General features: G+C 35.7%; 2 protein-coding genes across 5 annotated transcripts in view; both read left to right on the top strand.

Moving 5' to 3' along the window:
* The window catches only part of WDR49 (WD repeat domain 49), a 179,240-nt gene extending 164,083 nt beyond the window's left edge, over nt 1-15,157 (top strand). For all 4 annotated transcript variants that reach the window (NM_001348951.2, NM_001366158.1, NM_001348952.2 and 1 more), the window contains one exon: nt 14,845-15,157. In NM_001348951.2, coding sequence (NP_001335880.1) covers nt 14,845-14,963 — 119 coding nt within the window. In that variant the 3' untranslated portion in view covers nt 14,964-15,157. The remainder of the gene's footprint in view (nt 1-14,844) is intronic.
* SERPINI2 (serpin family I member 2) overlaps nt 16,878-18,573 on the top strand; it is a 35,031-nt gene continuing 33,335 nt past the window's right edge. The window contains exon 1 of the mRNA NM_001394327.1: nt 16,878-17,010. The gene's annotated coding sequence lies outside the window, so the exon portion shown is untranslated. The remainder of the gene's footprint in view (nt 17,011-18,573) is intronic.

The following is an 18,573-nucleotide window of genomic DNA, read 5'->3' as shown; positions in this document are numbered from 1 at the left end:
AGGTGCCTATGGGACACCTACTAAAGAAAGCTGACACCTTTCTGAGAAACTAGCCATCATAGAAAGGAAAAAGAATAAGTGATAACTGAAAAGAAACTATAGTTGATAGACATGTTTAAAAATTAGGTTCAATATTTTTGTTCTGATTTTATATTTGATACATGCGTATTATAGAAAATTGACTAGTAAGAAGTAAACAGAACTCTAAGGAATATAGGAATAGGAAAATGAAAGAGCAGCCACTACTTCTCATGCCTGAGATATATTGACCAAGGAAGAGTCCCACCCATCCCAGGGCTGAGCAGTGTTTTCCATGCCTCACTGAATGGCAAACCCACGGAGATGCTGTACGTGGAAGTTACCAGAAACCACCACCAGGGTTCCAGGAGAAACTATCCACAGGGAGGTGCTGTTTCTCAGAACTCACTGCAGAACCAATAAGAGGGTACAGGGAAGGCTGTTCACAGGGAAGAGTCACACAGTTGGCCTCTTGCTTGCCAAGGATATTATGGAAAACCGTTCATGGAGTGGTATCAGATAGGTGGCATACTGCTGACAGGGGAAACTGCTAGCTCTGGGTTCTGGAGAAGCCTTACCTGCATTGCAGGAGTCTGGTGTTGGAAAAATCACTGCGAGAGCTTGGTACTGGAGAAGTCATGCTATAAGAGCCTAGTGCTGGAGAAACTGCAGGGCAGGATTCTTGGGAGAGGAGCACAGAGAACCTGGAACTTGGAAAAGAAATCCATTTCTCCTCCAGTGTCTCTCCATTACTCTTTAGTGACAGAGCTCAACATCATGACAGCTAGCAAAGGAGACATATTGTAGGCTTGATTCTGTCAGCACAGAGCAGGCATCAAAAAGCTTGGGCAATACATTGATAACGGACATAGTCTCATCTTATCCGCCTCTCCATGCTTGTTCTCCACTCCTGGTCCTTCTACGTCATGTTGGGACCTTCAAAATTACAGTTTTATACCCGATAAGTTATGAGGTGATAATGGATGTCTTTTGGGGTGGGGGTGGGAATTACAATTTATAAAGAGAATAAGCCATGGAAACGATAAATGTATAAAGATGAAATTTTAAGCATAAGACTGGTTTCAAAACAAGGTTCTACTACTTGCTAGCTTTGTAAACTTAAGCAATTCGAGTAAACATTCTGTGCCTTAGTTTCCTCAACTGAAAATAGGCTTCATCTTAGTTATCATCATAATGTTTCTGTGAACATTAAATGATATAACCCATGTGAAGCCCTAAGCACAGTGCCTGATACCCAGTAAGACTTTGATACATTTTATTTATTGGTAATGCCCTGTATTATTATTCCACTAAAGAGTTCTACAATGTGGGACTTACTATTCCCCACATTTTCTATATAAAGAATTTGTGGCATAAAGAATTTAAATAATTGACCTAAGTTCACATAGATAGTAAAGGTAGAGCCTAGATGGGAATGCTGAAAAACTGACTCAGGTGTTTATGCTATTAATATTTCAAAATTCAGCCTCCCCTGTTCAAATAGTATTCAAATCAAATTCCCTGGTAGCTTATTCTTGCTCTTATTTCTAAAACCAGTCATTTTACTGTATTACCTATTTTTATTATTTTCATTTAAAATTGTTCCTCTCCTTTTCAGAAGGATACTGATGAATTTAAAAATTGTTATTATAAAATAACACTTAAAAAAAAAAAAAACTTCAATTACCAATATATTTCTCCTGCACACTATCATTGCAGAGGCTACCTTACGTCTTTGCACTGCATTTTTTCCACTTTGCTGCAATCTCCGTAATTACCTCGTGCATAGGTTTTTGGCAGTTGTACAATGAGAGGCATTTTGCTAGTCTCACTTTCAATGTCCTAAACTCTCACTTTGGAACTTGGGACAGTTTTCAAACACTTTAAAATCCCCAGGTGATGTTTTAGCCATACCTGCTGGGTTTTTTATGTCCTTTTGTATTCTGTTTCTTTCCCTTTCAACTTGAAACATCTTTCTTCACACTTTCCCTTTAGCTTTCAAGTTGCTCCCAGTTGGTTCTTAAACAGCTTGAAACCCCTCTTTGATATGCCTTATTCAAAATCCTGGAAGCTACTTAGAACTGCCTCTGAGTCAGGTTTTGCCAATAAATTCCCCAGAACCCATTCACATTGTATCTGTAAAATCTTTAAAACTTGAAACAGTGTGGAGAAAATGCTCTATTAATGATACCTCAGGTGACTTGTTTTGTTGTAGCTGTTGCTCTGTGAAAGACAAAATGTACGAAACAATTAAAGAGATGGTTTTATTCAGCCTACTGCAATACGGAGAAAGTTCATTAAACAGGAACATCTCAAAGAAAAGAAAAGAGGTCTGAGCTTTTGTAGAGGTAGGTAGATGAGGAAGTCATCTGTGATTCTTATAGGACTCAAGAGGAAGGAAAGAGAGGGTCCTGGAATATATGAGAGGAGAGGAGTCCTTTGTGGTTAGCTGTTTCTAGAACATGAAAATGTAGAGAGATTTCTTAAATGTCTTCACTTTCCAGGAGCACTGGACTGAGGTAAAGTTCAGCATCGCCAGTCTCATCCCCCTTGTGTTTAAGAAAAATGAATATCACTCATTGCTGAACAACCTAAAAGTGATTCTAAAGCTCCCGGGTGGGGCAAAGCAGAGTCTCAGAAATAGTCTCTCAGGGGTTCTTGTTGATGTTGCTCCTACAAAACCACTTGAATTTATATTGCCAGGTGGTGGCAAAGGTCAGCTGTTTTGAAGTCCCAACGATCCTGGGAGAAAGGGACAGCTGCAAGGCAACCAAAAGTCTGTATAGGGATCTGGGATGTCAGGTTTTAATTCTTGGTAATGTCCTTAGGTGGGAGGGAGAAAAACTGAAAATGTTAATTTGGAAAGTTGTAGTTAAATGTTGAAAAAAAACACATAAGATTGAAAAGTTTGGAGAGTTGACAATTTGTGCAAGGTAGCAGACCAGTCCAATTTGCAAGTAGATCCCGAAAGTGGTGTTTCCAAGGAGAAGAGGAAGTCAAATCTCTAGCAGATAAAACAAAGTTTGCATATCCGTCAGTGGCTTGCAATTGAAAAGAGGGGCAAAAATAGTTCAAAAACAGTGAACTCAACTAGAATCTAACAACCCAGAAGGGTGTGCTGGAGACAATACATAGTGTTTTATTGAAACACACAATGTTTCACATTAGCCCTTAAGCTACAGGTCAAAAATATACACATAAGCTTTTATTAAAATCTTTGTTTTAGAGTATAATTTTAAATCTAGCACCGGTAAAGAAAAATAATCTTTGATATCATATAAAAGTTCTTACTTGAACAAATAATTAAAATGTAGGAAGAAAGCATTTGTAGATACATGCATTGACTATATGATAAATGAGAGATTGCTACACATGGCTCACCTCAGGACCTTTTGGATACTAAACATCCAGAATGAACAGAAAACTCAGGGGCATTTTAAAAAGTAGAAATCCTTCCTATTGCTCTACATTTTTATTTACATAACACTAAATTATCTCAAAATTCACAAATACAACACACACAGACCAAAATTTTGGGTCTATAAAACAGAAGTCATTAATATGTGAACAACATATTTAAAAGGTTCAACAGGTCCCAAGCAACCATTATTTGAGAGTCATATGAAAACTATTAAAGTATTTTGATTAATCATCACCACTCTTTCTCACCAACCCGTTGCTTTGTTGCCTGTTTGTTACTGGATGGTGGCTGAAATAAAAGGACATTTGACAATACTCACCTAGAGCTTAGATTTAGAAATCAGAAGCTTGACCTCAAGATGTGGGCAGTGGATAGCAGCATGGGCATCACCAGGGAGCTCCTTAGAAATGCAGCATCTCAGGACCCACCCCAGATCTGTTGCATGGGAATTTGTATTTTAATGAGAACTCCAGGTGATTCTTATGCACATATAAGTTTGATAAATAAGAATTTGTCTAGAAGACGCAAAATAGGACACAGAATAGGAGGAAGAATGTGAATTAGAAAGGAGTTTTCAGAATGCTGTACACTCATAGACAGGTAGTCATTGCATAGTACATTACATAGCTGCCAAGTCCTTTGTTGCCAGGGTATCTTTGTGAGTTTTGCCACTGTTGTTCAGCTGATATAGTTAGTTGCCAATTAGCAGGCAAGGGAAAGACCAGAAGACAATATATAAACCAATTCTTCTATGTTAAGATCCTTGAATCATTTTATTATAGAAAAAATGTTTTGGATACTTTCCTGACCACCACATCTTTCCTTTTCATCACTGTGAAAACAGCTTTTGGCTATCATTATAATAAACCTTGTCAGGCAGCCAACTATAAAGTGAAGTGATGAGTGTATAAATGTCATATTTTCCCAGGTAGGGAATAGTGAATGTAAGTGGTTACTGATAACACTAGATGTTAATTTTTAAGAACTTGGTTGTGGTTAAATGGATGTATATGTATATATGTGACATGGAGAATCACCCTTTTATGAATATTATAGGGTCCCCAGGTCTCTGGAATGCAGGGATTCCAAAGGGTGAGGAGTGAGCCAACCCCTTTGCATGCCTGAAAGTTCCTTCATTCATGTGCTCATATATTCAACAAATATACATTTTGAGTCCCTTTTCCATGAGCCAGATACAATGCTGGGTGCTAGGGATATATGGTATACAAAGGCAAACAAAGTCTACTGCTGCTGAATTTATTGTCTAGGAAGAGAGATAGGTAATAATAAGTAGATAAATAGTTAAAGATGATAAGTTTGGAGAATGATATTGATAAGAGCTAAGAAGAAAATACAACAAGATAATATAATAAGGTGACATTAGGAAGAACATCAGTGAAGGTCTCTCTGACATTTAAGCTAAATCCTAAGGTAGAAAGTTCTACAAAGATGTTGGGGCAGAATGTCCCAAGCACAGGAAACAAGTATAAAACCACTGGGAACAAAATTGACATGTTCCAGGGACAGAAAAGAGGTCACCATTGCTAGAATGGAGTGAGGAGACTGGTATCAGATGAGATTAGAGGGGGCTCAGGGGTCATGTCATGTGGGACCATGTTGCCTGGGCAAAAAATTTGGTTTAAGTATAAAGGGAAGCCTTCAGAGGATTTAAAGAGGAATGTGACCTGATTCATCTAGACACTGGCTGTTTCTCACTAATCTGAGCAAACTACTGTCCAGGATTCTAAATAAGTTATGTGGCCAGGGAGGCAAGAAGTTGGAGGCTTGAGGTTCCTAAGCTTGTGATCATATGGGAACTTGAGGGTGCTTTAAGATAAGCTTTGTATTTATTTATTTACTTTATTTTTTACTTTTTAAAAATTTCAGCTTTTATTTTAGATACAGGGAACACATGTGCAGGTTTGGTAAATGGGTATATTGCACCCAGGTAATGAGTGTAGTACCCAATAGGTAGTTTTGCAAACCATGCCCCTCACTCCATCCCTGTTCTAGTAGTCCATAGTGACTGTTTTTATCATATTTACATCCATGTGTGCTCAGTGTTTAACCCTTAATTATAAGTGAGAACATGTGGTATTTGGCTTTCTGTTCCTGCATTAATTTGCTTAGGATTTTATCCTACAGCTTCATCAGTATTGCTGCAAAAGACATGATTTCATATTTTTTATGGTTGCATAGTATTCCATGGTGTGTGTGTGTGTGTGTGTGTGTGTGTGTGTGTGTGTGTGTGTGTGTTTGAGTGTATCACATTTTCTTTATCCAATCCATCATTGATGAGTACCTAAGTTGATTACATGTCTTTGCTATTGTGAATAGCATGGTGATAACACATGAATGCATTTTCCTTTTGGTGTATTTCCAGTAGTGAGATTTCTGGGTCAAGTGGTAGCTCTGTTTTAAGTTATTTAAGAAATCTCCAAACAGCTTTCCACAGTGGCTGAACTAATTTACCTTCCTACCAATGGTGTATAAGCCTTCCCTTTTCTGCACAGCCTTGCAAGAATCTGTTGTTTTTTGACTTAATAATAGCCATTTTGACTGGTGTGAGAAGGTATTTTATTGTGGTTTTGATTTGCTTTTCTCTGATGATTAGTGATGATGAGTAATTTTCATATGTTTCTTGGCCACTTGTATGTCTTCTTTTGGGACGTGTCCATTCATGTTCTTTGCCCATTTTTTGATAGTGTTGTTTTATGCTTGCTGATTTAAGTTTTTCTTTTAATAGATGCTGGATGTCAAATCTTTGTCAGATGAATAGTTTGTGAATATTTTCTCCCGTTCTGTACGTTGTCTGTTTACTCTGTTGATGGTTTGTTTTGCTGTGATGAAGCTTTTTTATTTAATTAGGTTCCATTTATCAACTTTTGTTCTTGTTACCGTTGCTTTTGGGGGCTTAGCCAAAAATTCTTTGCCAAGGCTGATGTCAGGAAGGGTATATCCTAGATTTTCTTCCAGAATTTTTCCAGTTTGGGGTCTTATATTTAAATCTTTAATTCAACCTTAGTTAATTTTTGTATATGTTGAAAGATAAGGGTCCAGTTTCAATTGTCTGCATATGGTTAGCCAGTTATCTCAGCACCATTTATTGAACACAGAGTCCTTTTTCCATTGGTTGTTTTTGTAGGCCTTATTGAAGATCAGATGGTTGTAGGTACACAGCTTTATTTTTGAGATTTTTATTCTTTTCCATTGGTGTATGTGTTTGTTTTTGTGTCAGTACCATGCTGTTTTGGTTACTGTGGCCTTATAGTATAGTTTGAAGTCAGGTAATGTGATGCCTCTAGCTTTGTTCTTTTTGCTTAGGATTCCTTCAGCTATTTGGGCTCTTTATTTTTGGTCCAATGTGAATTTTAGAATAGTTTTTCCTAATTCTGAAATGAATGACATTTATTGTTTTGTGAGAAAGCATGTGGTTGATCTTAGAATATGTTCTGTGTGAAGATGAGAAGAATATATATTCTGTTGGTTGTTCCATGGGGTGTTCTATAGTTGTCAATTAGGTCCAATTGATCAAGTGTAGAGTTTAAGCCTAGAGTTTCTTTGTTAGTTTTCTGCCTTGAAGATCTGTTTAATGTTGTCAGTGGGGTATTGAAGTCTGTCAGTATTATTGTGTGGTTGTCTAAATTTTTTTCATAGGCCAAGAACTTGTTTTATGAATCTCGATGCTCCAATGATTGGTATGTGTCTATTTAGGATAGTTAAATCTTCTTGTTGGATTATATGCATATGCCCTTCTTAATTTTTATTTGTTTAAAATCTGTTTTATCTGATTTAAGAATAGGGACCCCTGCTCTTTTTTGTTTTCTGTTTCAATGGGACAACTTTGTCTATTTCTTTACTGTGAGGCTGTAGGCATTGTTACATGTGAGATGGGTCTCTTGAAGACAGCAGATGGTTGGGTCTTTTTTTTGTAACCAGCATGCCGCCTTATGTCTTTTAAGTAAGGTGTTTAGCCCATTTACATTCAGGGTTAGTACTTGTATGTGAGATTTTGATCCTGTCATTATGTTCTTAGCTGGTTGTTATGTAGACTTGATTGTATAGTTGCTTTATAGTGAACTGTGGGCTATGCACTTAAGTGTGTTTTTGTGGTAGTAGGTGTTGCTCTTTTGGTTCTATATTTAGGATGCCTTTAAGAGACTCTTGTAATTACGGCTGATCACATTGAAATAAATTCCCTCAACATTTGCTTGTCTGAGAAAGATTTTATTTATCTTTCACTTATGAATCTTGGTGTGGAGGGATATGAAATTATTGGATGGAATTTTTCTTCTTTAAGTATGTTGAAAATAGGTCTCCAATCTCTTTTGGCTTGTAAGGATTCTTCTGAGAAGTCTACTGCTAGCCTGATGTGGTCTCTCTGTATGTGACTTGACCATTCTTTCTAACTGCCTTTTTTTTTTCTTTTGCATTGACCTTGGTGAATCTGCTAACTATGTGCCTTGGGGATGGCCCTCTTTTATAGTATCTTTCCAGGGTTCTTTGTATTTCTTGGATTTGTGTGTCAACCACTCTAGCAACATTGGGGAAATATTTGTGGACTATATCCTCAAATATATTTTCCAAGTTGCTTATTTTCTCTCCTCTCAGGATTATCAGTGAGTCCTAGATTTGGTCTCTTTATATAATCTCATAGTTTTCAGAGGTTTTGTTCCTTTTATAAAAATTCTATTTTTGTCTGACTGAGTTGATTTGAAGAACCAGTCTTTGAGTGCTGAGGTTTTTCCTCAGCTTGGTCTATTCAGCTGTTAAAACTTCTAATTGTATTATAAAATCCTTGTAGTAAATTTTTAAGTTCTAGAAGTTCATTTGGGTTCTTAAAATAGCTATTTAATATTTCAGCTCTTGGATCATTTTATTGGATTCCTTGGGTTCCTTGCATTGGGTTTCAGCTTTGTCCTAAATCTTGTTGTGCTTCCTTGCCATCCAGATGCTGAATTCTATGTCTAAGTTGTGTATTCAAGTATACATACATTTTCTTTTTTTTCAACTTTTATTTTTATTTATTTATTTTTATTTTTATTTACTTTGAGTTCTAGGATACATGTATAGAACGTGAAGGTTTTTTACATAGGTATCCATGTGCCATGGTGGTTTGCTGCACCTGTCAACCTATCATCTATGTTTTAAGCCCCACATGCATTAGGTATTTGTCCTAATGCTATCCCTCCCCTTCCCCCCAACCACCCAATAGACCCTGGTGTGTGATGTTCTCCACCCTGTGTCCATGTGTTCTCATTGTTCAACTCCGACTTATGAGTGAGAACATGTGGTGTTTGGTTTTCTGTTCCTGTGTTAGTTTGCTGAGAATGATGGCCTCCAGCTTCATCCATGTCCCTGCAAAGGACATGAACTCATTCTTTTTTATGGCTGCCTAGTATTCCATGGTGTAAATGTGCCACATTTTCTTTATCCAGTCTATCATTGATGGGCATTTGGGTTGGTTCCAAGTCTTTGCTATTGTGAACAGTGCAGCAATAAACATACGTGTGCATATGTCTTTATAGTAGAATGATTTATAGTCCTTTATGTACCCCAGTAATGGGATTGCTGAGTCAAATGGTATTTCTGGTTCATAATTTTTTTTTTTTACCCGTGGTATTCCACCATCTCCAGCCACAAACCACAGGAAATTTGACAAATCAGCCTGTTTGTTATAAAAAGAACACATCACTTTTTTTTTTTTTTTTTGCCATCATCCTGTGATAGTGTACTTCATGGAAAGTGTATCAATCAGAGGGGAACCAGGGAAGTAAAATCAGCAGGACTTCATATTGAGATTTATTACAAGAAGTTGACTTATGGGTTTGTTGGGCTGAGTGAGCAAGTTCAAAATATGTAGCACTAACTCAAGAAGAAAAGATCATGGCAGGCTCGGCACAGGCAGAAACTTTCATTGGTAGAATTTCTTCACTTATACATATATATATATTTTATTATACTTTAAGTTCTAGGGTACATGTGTACAACCTGCAGGTTTGTTACATATGAATACATGTGCCATGTTGGTGTGCTGCACCCATTAACTCATCATTTACATTAGGTATATCTCTTAATGCTATCCCTCCCCTGTCCCCTCACCCCACAACAGGCCCCAGTGTTAAGGCCTTTTATCTGATTAAGTCTGGCTCACCAGATAATCCGGGATAATCTCCCTTATCTAAAGTTCATTGATTAGGGACTTGAACTACATTTGCAAAATCCCTTCAAAGCAACACTTATATTAATATTTGACTTCATAACTGTGGACTTTACCCTAGGCAACTTAATACATCAAGAAAGTCATCACAGCAAGGTTAAGGACATTTTAAAAATAATTGTAAGCAAGTTCAATAAATGATTATTTCTTACATGTATTATGATCTACTGCATACTCTGTTGAGTATCATAAAAAATCATTATGCCATTAACTTAGCAGATGTTACTATGAATAGTGAGAAGAATTGATTACCATTACGCATTTAAAAGATGTTAAGTTAATGACATCATTTTTGCCACATATAGATTTACAAATGAAGCTAATGAAGGTTAGGTTTTCTGGGCCTCATCTATAAAGACCCTTTGAGTATTAGAAATTGCTAGGAGTTTGAGAGTGTTCTAGGTGAAGAGCAGAAGCAAGGTTACAAGCAACAATCATTTCCAGGTAAGCATTTCAGGTATCTTTTTAAAAAGAGATCTCAGGAGAAAAGGACCTAACTCTAAAAATTACTAGTAATTTGTTGAAATTTATTTTATCTTAAATAGCCACTTTTATAAATAAATTTATATTTGTAATTTTATATTCTGTTTTTCTAAAGAGAGCTACCAAAATTGTAACTTTCAGGCCCAAGAAACAGGGATCCACCCCTGCATATGTACTTTTTATAATCTGTTTGTTAACTAAAAAGAAAAAAAATTAAAAATGAGTCATCCAAGTGAGTTCGTCTCTCTTAATATCTTACAGACTTATCAGTTAGCTATTGGGTTAATGGCCTTGAAACCCAGTCAATTACAATGAAAATTTGTCGTCTAGTTGAGAGACAAATCTCAATAAAACAGAATTTCGGAAGTAACATTCTGGCTTTTACAATATATTTCAGAAGGGCTCAAAGGCATTCTGAATTGCTTGTGATTCTAAAGTGCTAATCTGCAGTCATATGGGACAGGATCAGCTGCTGATGTACAGTTATCCACATTATCTCATACTGCTGGTATTAGGCAAATGGAAAATACTATCTTTCATTTTATCTCTGCTTAATGCCAGTTGCAGATTTATTCATTTTCATCTTATTGCTCTAGTTCTTCATTTCTCTAAGACACTATTAGATGTATGCTCAGTAATGATAGAATGAACTTGTTTTCTCCTTCTCCTACCCCCCTTCTACCACACAATTTTATTCCATAACATGATTTTCTTTATGCTTACTTTTATTTTGTTAAATTTGCTTATACTGCTATTAGTTGATTTGTCAGTTTTCAGTGTTATTCTTTGTCTCTGATTTATCATAAACAAGGTTTCTTTCTCCTTTATGCTCACAATTTTTGTCAATTGTATCATTTATACATTGTCAGGCACATGGACTTTACCTTCTATTTTTGTCAGCCTTAACTCCACATTGTTTCCATTTTACTTCTGCACTTAAATACATTCAGTGATCACCAGCAAGTTATTTTTTTCAAAATTTTCTCTGTCATTTCTCAGTTTAGCTTTTTTTTTTTTTTTGAGACAGAGTCTCGTTCTGTCGCCCAGGCTGGAGTGCAATGGCACGATCTCAACTCACTGCAAGCTCTGCCTCCCGGGTTCACGCCATTCTCCTGCCTCAGCCTCCCGAGTAGCTGGGACCACAGGCGCCCACCACCAGGCCCGACTAATTTTTTGTATTTTTTTTTTTTTTTAGTAGAGACGGGGTTTCACCATGTTAGCCAGGATGGTCTGGATCTCCTGACCTCATGATCCGCCCGCCTCGGCCTCCCAAAGTGTTGGGATTACAGGCGTGAGTCACCACTCCTGGCCTCAGTTTAGCTTTTTGAAATTTCCTCAAAGAGGACTCTTGGGAACAATAATCCCTAAATTTCTTGCATATTGACACCATTTATAGTTTTTGGATTTGAAGGACAACTTGAATGTATGTAATATTCTTAGCTTACATATTCTTTCCCTGATTATCTTGTAGGCATTGCTCTACTCTTTTCTGGTGTTGGTCATTTCTATAAAATATCTAATGCAAGATACTTTTCTCCTTTTTAGGTGACTTGATTATTTTGTGTGGTTGCCAGAAGATTTCCTCTTTATCTCTAAAGTCTAATAACATTACTGGGATATCACTTGGTTTTGAGTATTCTAAGTCAATTATTCCTAGTACACAATGTGTCCTTTCAACATATGTCAGGTTGACTTTTATTTGAGGACCTTTATTAAATGATGCCTTTAAATATTTGTTATACTTTGGTTTTCTTTCTTAAGTACTGATATGGTTTGGCTGTATTCCCATTCAAATCTCAATTTGAATTGTATCTCCCAGAATTCCCATGTGCTGTGGGAGGGACCTAGGGGGAGGTAATTGAATCATGCGGGCCAGTCTTTCTCGTGCTATTCTCGTGATAGTGAATAACTTTCATGAGATCTGATGGGTTTATCAAGGGTTTCCACATTTGTTTCTTCCTCATTTCTCTCTTGCTGCTGCCATGTAAGAAGTGCTTTTTGCCTTCTGCCATGATTCTGAGACCTCCCCGGCCATGTGAAACTATTAAGTCCAATTAAAGCTTTTTTATCCCCAGTTTCGGGTGTGTCTTTATCAGCAGTGTGAAAGCGAATTAATACAAGTACCTACTCTAATTATATGTTTGTTGATCTATTTTTTGTCTGTCTTCAACATTTATTATTTTTCTAATTCATTCTGTTTATAATTTTCATTTTATTATATATTTTTTCTCATTTCTATATTCTAGGTTTCCTACTATGTTCCAGGAACTCTGTTCTCCCTTGTGATTTTTTCCCTCTTTTTCTGAGTTTTGCTACCTCATATTTCATCACTTCCTCTTGTGTCTTCATCTCCTCCCTTAGTTTTTTCACTTCTGCTCTGTGATCTTCCTTCATAGAGGCAACTGCTGTTTTAATTTTTAAAATTTAATTTTTGTCAAAATGCTTGGTAACAATGTTTGTGCAATGGCAATATTTTTTGGTGGTGGCTCATGTATTGATTAGTTTTGCTGCTCTTTCTTCAATTTGATTGGTTTTAGTTTTTGCTTATATAAGTTTGTGTTCATGCTGTGTTCATTTTAAAACTTTCCTCTTTTAATTAATTAGCTTTAATGAGGTGATTTTTTTTTTTTTTGCTTGAAATATGTGGTAAATCCTTGAGTAAGAGGCTGGGATGTGAGATCAGGGTATCCTTCAAGTTTTACAACCCATGGGGACAGACTGCTTTAGCAAAAAATGACTCATGTGTGTGATACAGGTAGCCCTGACTCATCTATTTCACCGATCCAAACCAGGTCCCAGAGAGCTTCTGCTTCCAACCATGTTCACCTCTTTTTAGCATCCATGTATATAAGGGATAAAGCATTTGTACTTCATGGTGAGCCTGTAACTCACAGTGACTATTTTTTTCCCAGCACATTCTAAGATGCTGCTGCTGGCCTTCGTATACTCTCTATACTTTTCACTTTTTCTTGGGCAACTTTTGTCCTATCTCAGCTGTTTTGCTTCTTTATATTTTGTAAGCTGCAGATTACATCTCTCTTTGAGTTTTGCTTAAAGTAGAATTTATTTGCAAAGTTATTATCTGTAATTTTCCTGGTTGCTTTCATATAATTTCCATGAGAAGAAGAGGAAAGATCTTGACTTTTGTAGCCAAGGTCTATATAACTTCCTCTCTACAGTATAGTTTACACTGGAAGTGGAAAGTTTTTGTTTCGTTTTGTGTTTAATCCAAATATATAAAGATGCCACTATACTGTAAAGTCATTCAATGTTTACTTTTTAATTTCATATGCTTTGGTTGGTGTTTAAAGTGTTCCTAGGTCCAGCTCCAAATTTATTCCACTTTACTTTCTTTCACATATTTTATGCTTCTTTTAAATTGTACTGAATTATTCAGAGTTATTCTAATAGTAGTTATTATTTTTCCTTTTTTTTTTTTTTTTTTTTTTTTAGACAGAGTCTCTCTCTGTTGCTTGGGCTGGAGTGCGATGGCTTGATCTCGGCTCACTGCAAACTCTGCCTCCTGGGTTCAAGCAATTCTCCTACCTCAGCCTCCCGAGTAGCTGGCCTCCCGAGTAGCTGAGATTACAGGCGCCTGCCACCATGCCTGGCTTATTTTTTTGTATTTTTGGTAGAGACGGGGTTTCACTAAATTGGCCAGGCTAGTCTCGAACTCCTGACCTCAGGCAATTCACCTGCCTCGGCCTCCCAAATTGCTGGGATTATAGGCGTGAGCCACCGTGCCCGGCCTTTTTTTCCATGCTTTATTCACCTTGTTTCCTCCAGTTGACACTTCCTATCCAACCCTTGCCAATTCTTCCCCACCTCCATGTTTCTTATTCTCAATTAAAGTCCTATCTGGAATTCAAGACCTACCTCAAATAAGTACCTAATTCTTAAAGCTTTTTAAAAAATCTTTATATATTGTTATAATATCTTTTACATGTTTATACACAGTTTGCATTGCTTATATTCTCTTGGAATGATATCTTATTGTATATGATGTTTTGGTTATTTGGGTACTGCTTCTAGTTTCCACCAATTGGAAGAAAGGTTGTGACTTAGTCATATTTGTGCCTCATTTATGCCTCAACACAGAACATTGTGTATAATAGACATTCAATAAGCATTTGTTTAAATAATAAAATTATGCAAAATGCCAAAATTATTTTCTAGAATGTATGGCACAATTTCCTCCTACTTCTCACTGATGCGCAATATAACCACTCATGGAAATAATTTGGTTCTTTTTTTTCCTAAAACTGCAAACCCCTATGGACGTGATTATAGATGCGCTTGTTTATTCATGCAGACAGTCAAACTGTGTTTTGACTATTTTAATTGCCTTATTTCAATACAGAATAATTTTTTCTTGGCTCTTTATGTCTTGATAGCTGTTAAGTAGATTAAAAAACAAAAATGGAAAACAGGAACTTCTATAATCCTCTACCCTTAGAATGGTGGATTTCTATTAAGATATATGCATTAAAAGAACAAACTCTACCAAAATTTAACTTTTAGATGTAAATTGCAGTAAACAGAATAGCAGAAGCTTAGAGAAAATTTTTCCAAATACACTCTGTGTTTTAGAAACAAAGATTTTTAGAAAAAGCAAAATTTGAGAATTTTCTCCCCACTATTTCATTTAAATAGGTCTCTTAACAAATATAATTCACTTGTGATTTTCCTCATCATTTTGTAGCTTTGAAAGCTGTATTTGATGAGAAAAACCTGTTTCCCAAGGAAATTCTGCATCATGAACGAAAAGCCAAGCAATTATGCCAAGAAAAAAGTTGTGAAGTGAAGAAAAATAAGAAGTAATTACAACAGAAAAACCTTCACTGTTACATAAGGTACAGATATAAAATGCAGAAAAAGCATCAAGAATTCTGCCTTTTATTTTATTTTATATTTAAACTTCAGGAAGTTTTCTCTTCATGGGATAATTTAGTACTGCTTTTATCTATCATCTGTCAATTTCTCTGTATTCTTAATAAAATAAATATTGAACTAAAGTGGGAGCAACATCTTGGTATTTATTCTCAAGGATTTTTATATAAAAACTTTATGATTCCAGAACAAAGTTCTAACCAGTTGCCCTTCTGGTTGTTCCTATAGACAAACACTTTTGATCAGTTTTCATTGTAAAACCTGCATTGAAATATATGAAAAGTACTGACGGAGTAAATATCTACAAATGTGAATAAGAAAACTGTTTCCACTTTTTTACACTTTCTAGTAGTTTTTAAATGATTCTCATAATGGTGATTAGACTTTGTCAATAGCACCACTTCCTGTTAATTCTTATTGGCTTTTATTCATTCTATAAACTTATTGGAAAATTACTGCATATGATCTACTTCAATAGTTTGTTATACTGTACTTTAAAATTGAATGCCATAGCACATTGAAGATGTAATAGTCTTGAAAAAAAATCAAAGGGCCTGGGGCTATATAAAGGACCCACTCTATGTGGAAAGTCAAGTGGGAAATATTTGGTTCTTTAACTTACTGCCTCTGTTTGTTGACCCATTTTTATTTACAAATATAATCATCTTCCAGGCAATATTATTATTCTGCTTTATTTATTGTGTCCTATAGAAAGAATTGGTAAATTCATTTACATAACTATAATGACTTACTGTATATTTATATTTTAAAGAGTGCTTTCAAAACCAGCTAAAGTTTAAGAAGAATTTTTCAATAACACATGTAGTAAAGGAAAATAATTTGCAATAGGTAGGGGACCACTTGGTATAGCAACTGCAAATGTCCATTGTGTTTAAACCACACAATAATCATATGAATATATTAGCTTAGAGCTAAAATATGAGATGCGAATCTATTAGGAGAGTGCTCAATTATCAATGGCAGAGTTGAGATTGGAACCCAGGTCTGTTTTACTCCCAAACCATGGTATTTGCCATTCATCATTCTGTACACTTGCTTCTTATTAGTATAAAGCCAATGGAATGAATTCTAACACTAGACTTTCCAGCACCAGTGGAGCAAATATTTTGGTTTGGTGGAGAAGGCGGTGATGGAAGGACTTTCAGAAGACAGCTGCCTATTCTAACTACATTTAAGTGTATTCTGAGTTAGGCATTATGACTTCTATTCATATCGCCTTTCCTCCTCATGGAATGAAAATTACATGCAGGAAAGATTGTAGGAGAAAAGTATATTTGTCTCTGTGTGTGTGTGCGTGTGTGTTTGTCTGTTGGGTGGTGTGATGATGTACAAGAAGTGTCCTTGTTTTAGAAAAATATAATAATAGAATGTTTAAGTATGATAGAAATTATGTTTTTAGCTTGCTATAAAATGATTCAGAAAATACTAATTATATGTATATATAAAATGTATATATATGCACACACAGGTAACACATATACATATCTATATTTACATCTGTTTGCTTATTGGGAGGATAGATACATAGATGAAACACACACATGCGGTAGATGCTAACAATTGGGGAAAGAGGAGGAGGTGGAGATAGCAGTTCTTTGAACTATATCTGCAACTTTTATGTAAATTTGAAAGTATTTCAAGGTAAATTTTTTTAAAATATAAAAAGTTGCTTTTGAACAAAAAGATTATTTGAGATGTTCAAGCAGACACTGGGTAACTGTCTCACGGGGATATTGCAAAGACTTCTTGCACTGGGTAGGAGGTTTGACTGGGTAATCCATCATTTCAAACTCAGAGCACATGATTTATGAATCATAGGTTGGTGATAGTACAATGGAGTGAAATCTGAGCCACATGCCCAGAAATTTAATGGAATGTTAAGATGTTATAAAAGTAGAATGCGGGTACCAAATAATTTGCAAAGGCTCTTTTCCCCACTGATCCGTCCATCCCTCATGTAAGTATTGAAGGCATGTATAAGAGATTATTTTAGGTTCCGGGTATTCACATATAAATAGAATGCACCTTTTCTACCCTCAGCGTTCTGAAGTGAAGCTATATAAAATGTAGTGGTTTATTAAGCCAATACTAAATGAGCCCACTGGCATAAGTTGGAAATTCATAATCTGGCATATTTTTTCCAGTCTAATTTGGGAATTCTTTTGCTAGATATACTTTACTGTTTACCCTTGAAGATAACTTTGTTTGATGTGATAGCCTGAGATAGTCTGGTTCATACAGACAGACCTTCTCTCTATAGCCTACTACATGTGCATGGTATTATGCTGTAACTCTAATTCCATCCTTAATTAACATCAGGGCTTCTTCTGTAAAAGGAATTAAGAAGAGCTGTCTCATAAATATATTCAATGAGAAGAGAACTTTTAAAGGTATGAGACTTTCAAGGTAACTGTTTCTAATAATTTGGAGAAAAAACACAAAAAGAAGAAAAAAGACAATGTCTTTTTTTCTGTGTCTTACTCTTCTTTTGTAACTCACAGCATCTAATTTTCTAGGCAGGTAGCAGGATCTCACCTGTCAACTCTTAACAGAACTGAAGGCATTATAAACTGTTTCTGAAATTAACATTCAGATTCAATTACTTATGATCCATTTTTCTGTGGTAAAAGGAATTGGTCACATTAAAATAGGATATGTCATAATTTTCAATAGGCTACCTTGTTTGTATTACTTATATTTACACTAAATATAATTTAACATTTTCTTTTGTCAGAACATTTTCCTATTATCACTCAAAATTTAGGAACAATCTTACCAAAAAAAATTGCCTGAAATGAGTCCATGCTTAAATGGAAGAATTAACTTTTAAGTTCTTTACTGATGAGGGCATTTGCTTATACATTTTTAAAGTTTGGAATTAAGTGCACTTTTACTTGAAAAAACTATAAAAGGATAAGAAAATTGATGAGATGATAACTGTAACCCTTTGCTGTGGTTTTTATATATATTCCTAGGCTTATACTTTACAGTCGGACAGTAATGGCGATCAACCTTCTACCAAGACACGTTGGCTCTCATTAATGAATAATTCTCCCCCCACCCCGATTTTCTAGGAGCAAAATAGAATTGTAGAAAAAAGCGGTTTGGGAAAATATTTTAAAAATTTGTGGTAATATTTTATGGACAATTGTATTGTCGTCATTGTCTATTAAAAGAGGTTAAACCAGGGAGAATAAATTTATGGCTATTGCTTTTTACTCCTCAAGAGACAGGAAAATGAACATTCTGCCTGAACTGCTCTAATATAAGGTCCTTACAGAACAATTTCATTAAATGGTCTTAGTAGGACAGAGTGACGGTCTCTGCCATTGGTAGGAAAAGTAATGGACTATTTCTGGATAAATCACATTGTGATCTGAGCAGTGTACAGACATAATGATGTGGTAGCCAAGGGTACTGGTGATATATGTTTGCTGGTGTCAGTAAATGGGTAGAAAAGCATTGATTGAATGATAGTCTTGACATTCAGACTTAATATTTATGTATTGCAGTGTGAAGC

Source organism: Homo sapiens, chromosome 3 (genome assembly GCF_000001405.40).
Source record: "Homo sapiens chromosome 3, GRCh38.p14 Primary Assembly".
NCBI classification, from domain to species: Eukaryota; Metazoa; Chordata; class Mammalia; order Primates; family Hominidae; genus Homo; species Homo sapiens.
Note: the sequence above shows the minus strand (reverse complement) of the source record. Positions and strands in the feature narration are given on the sequence as shown.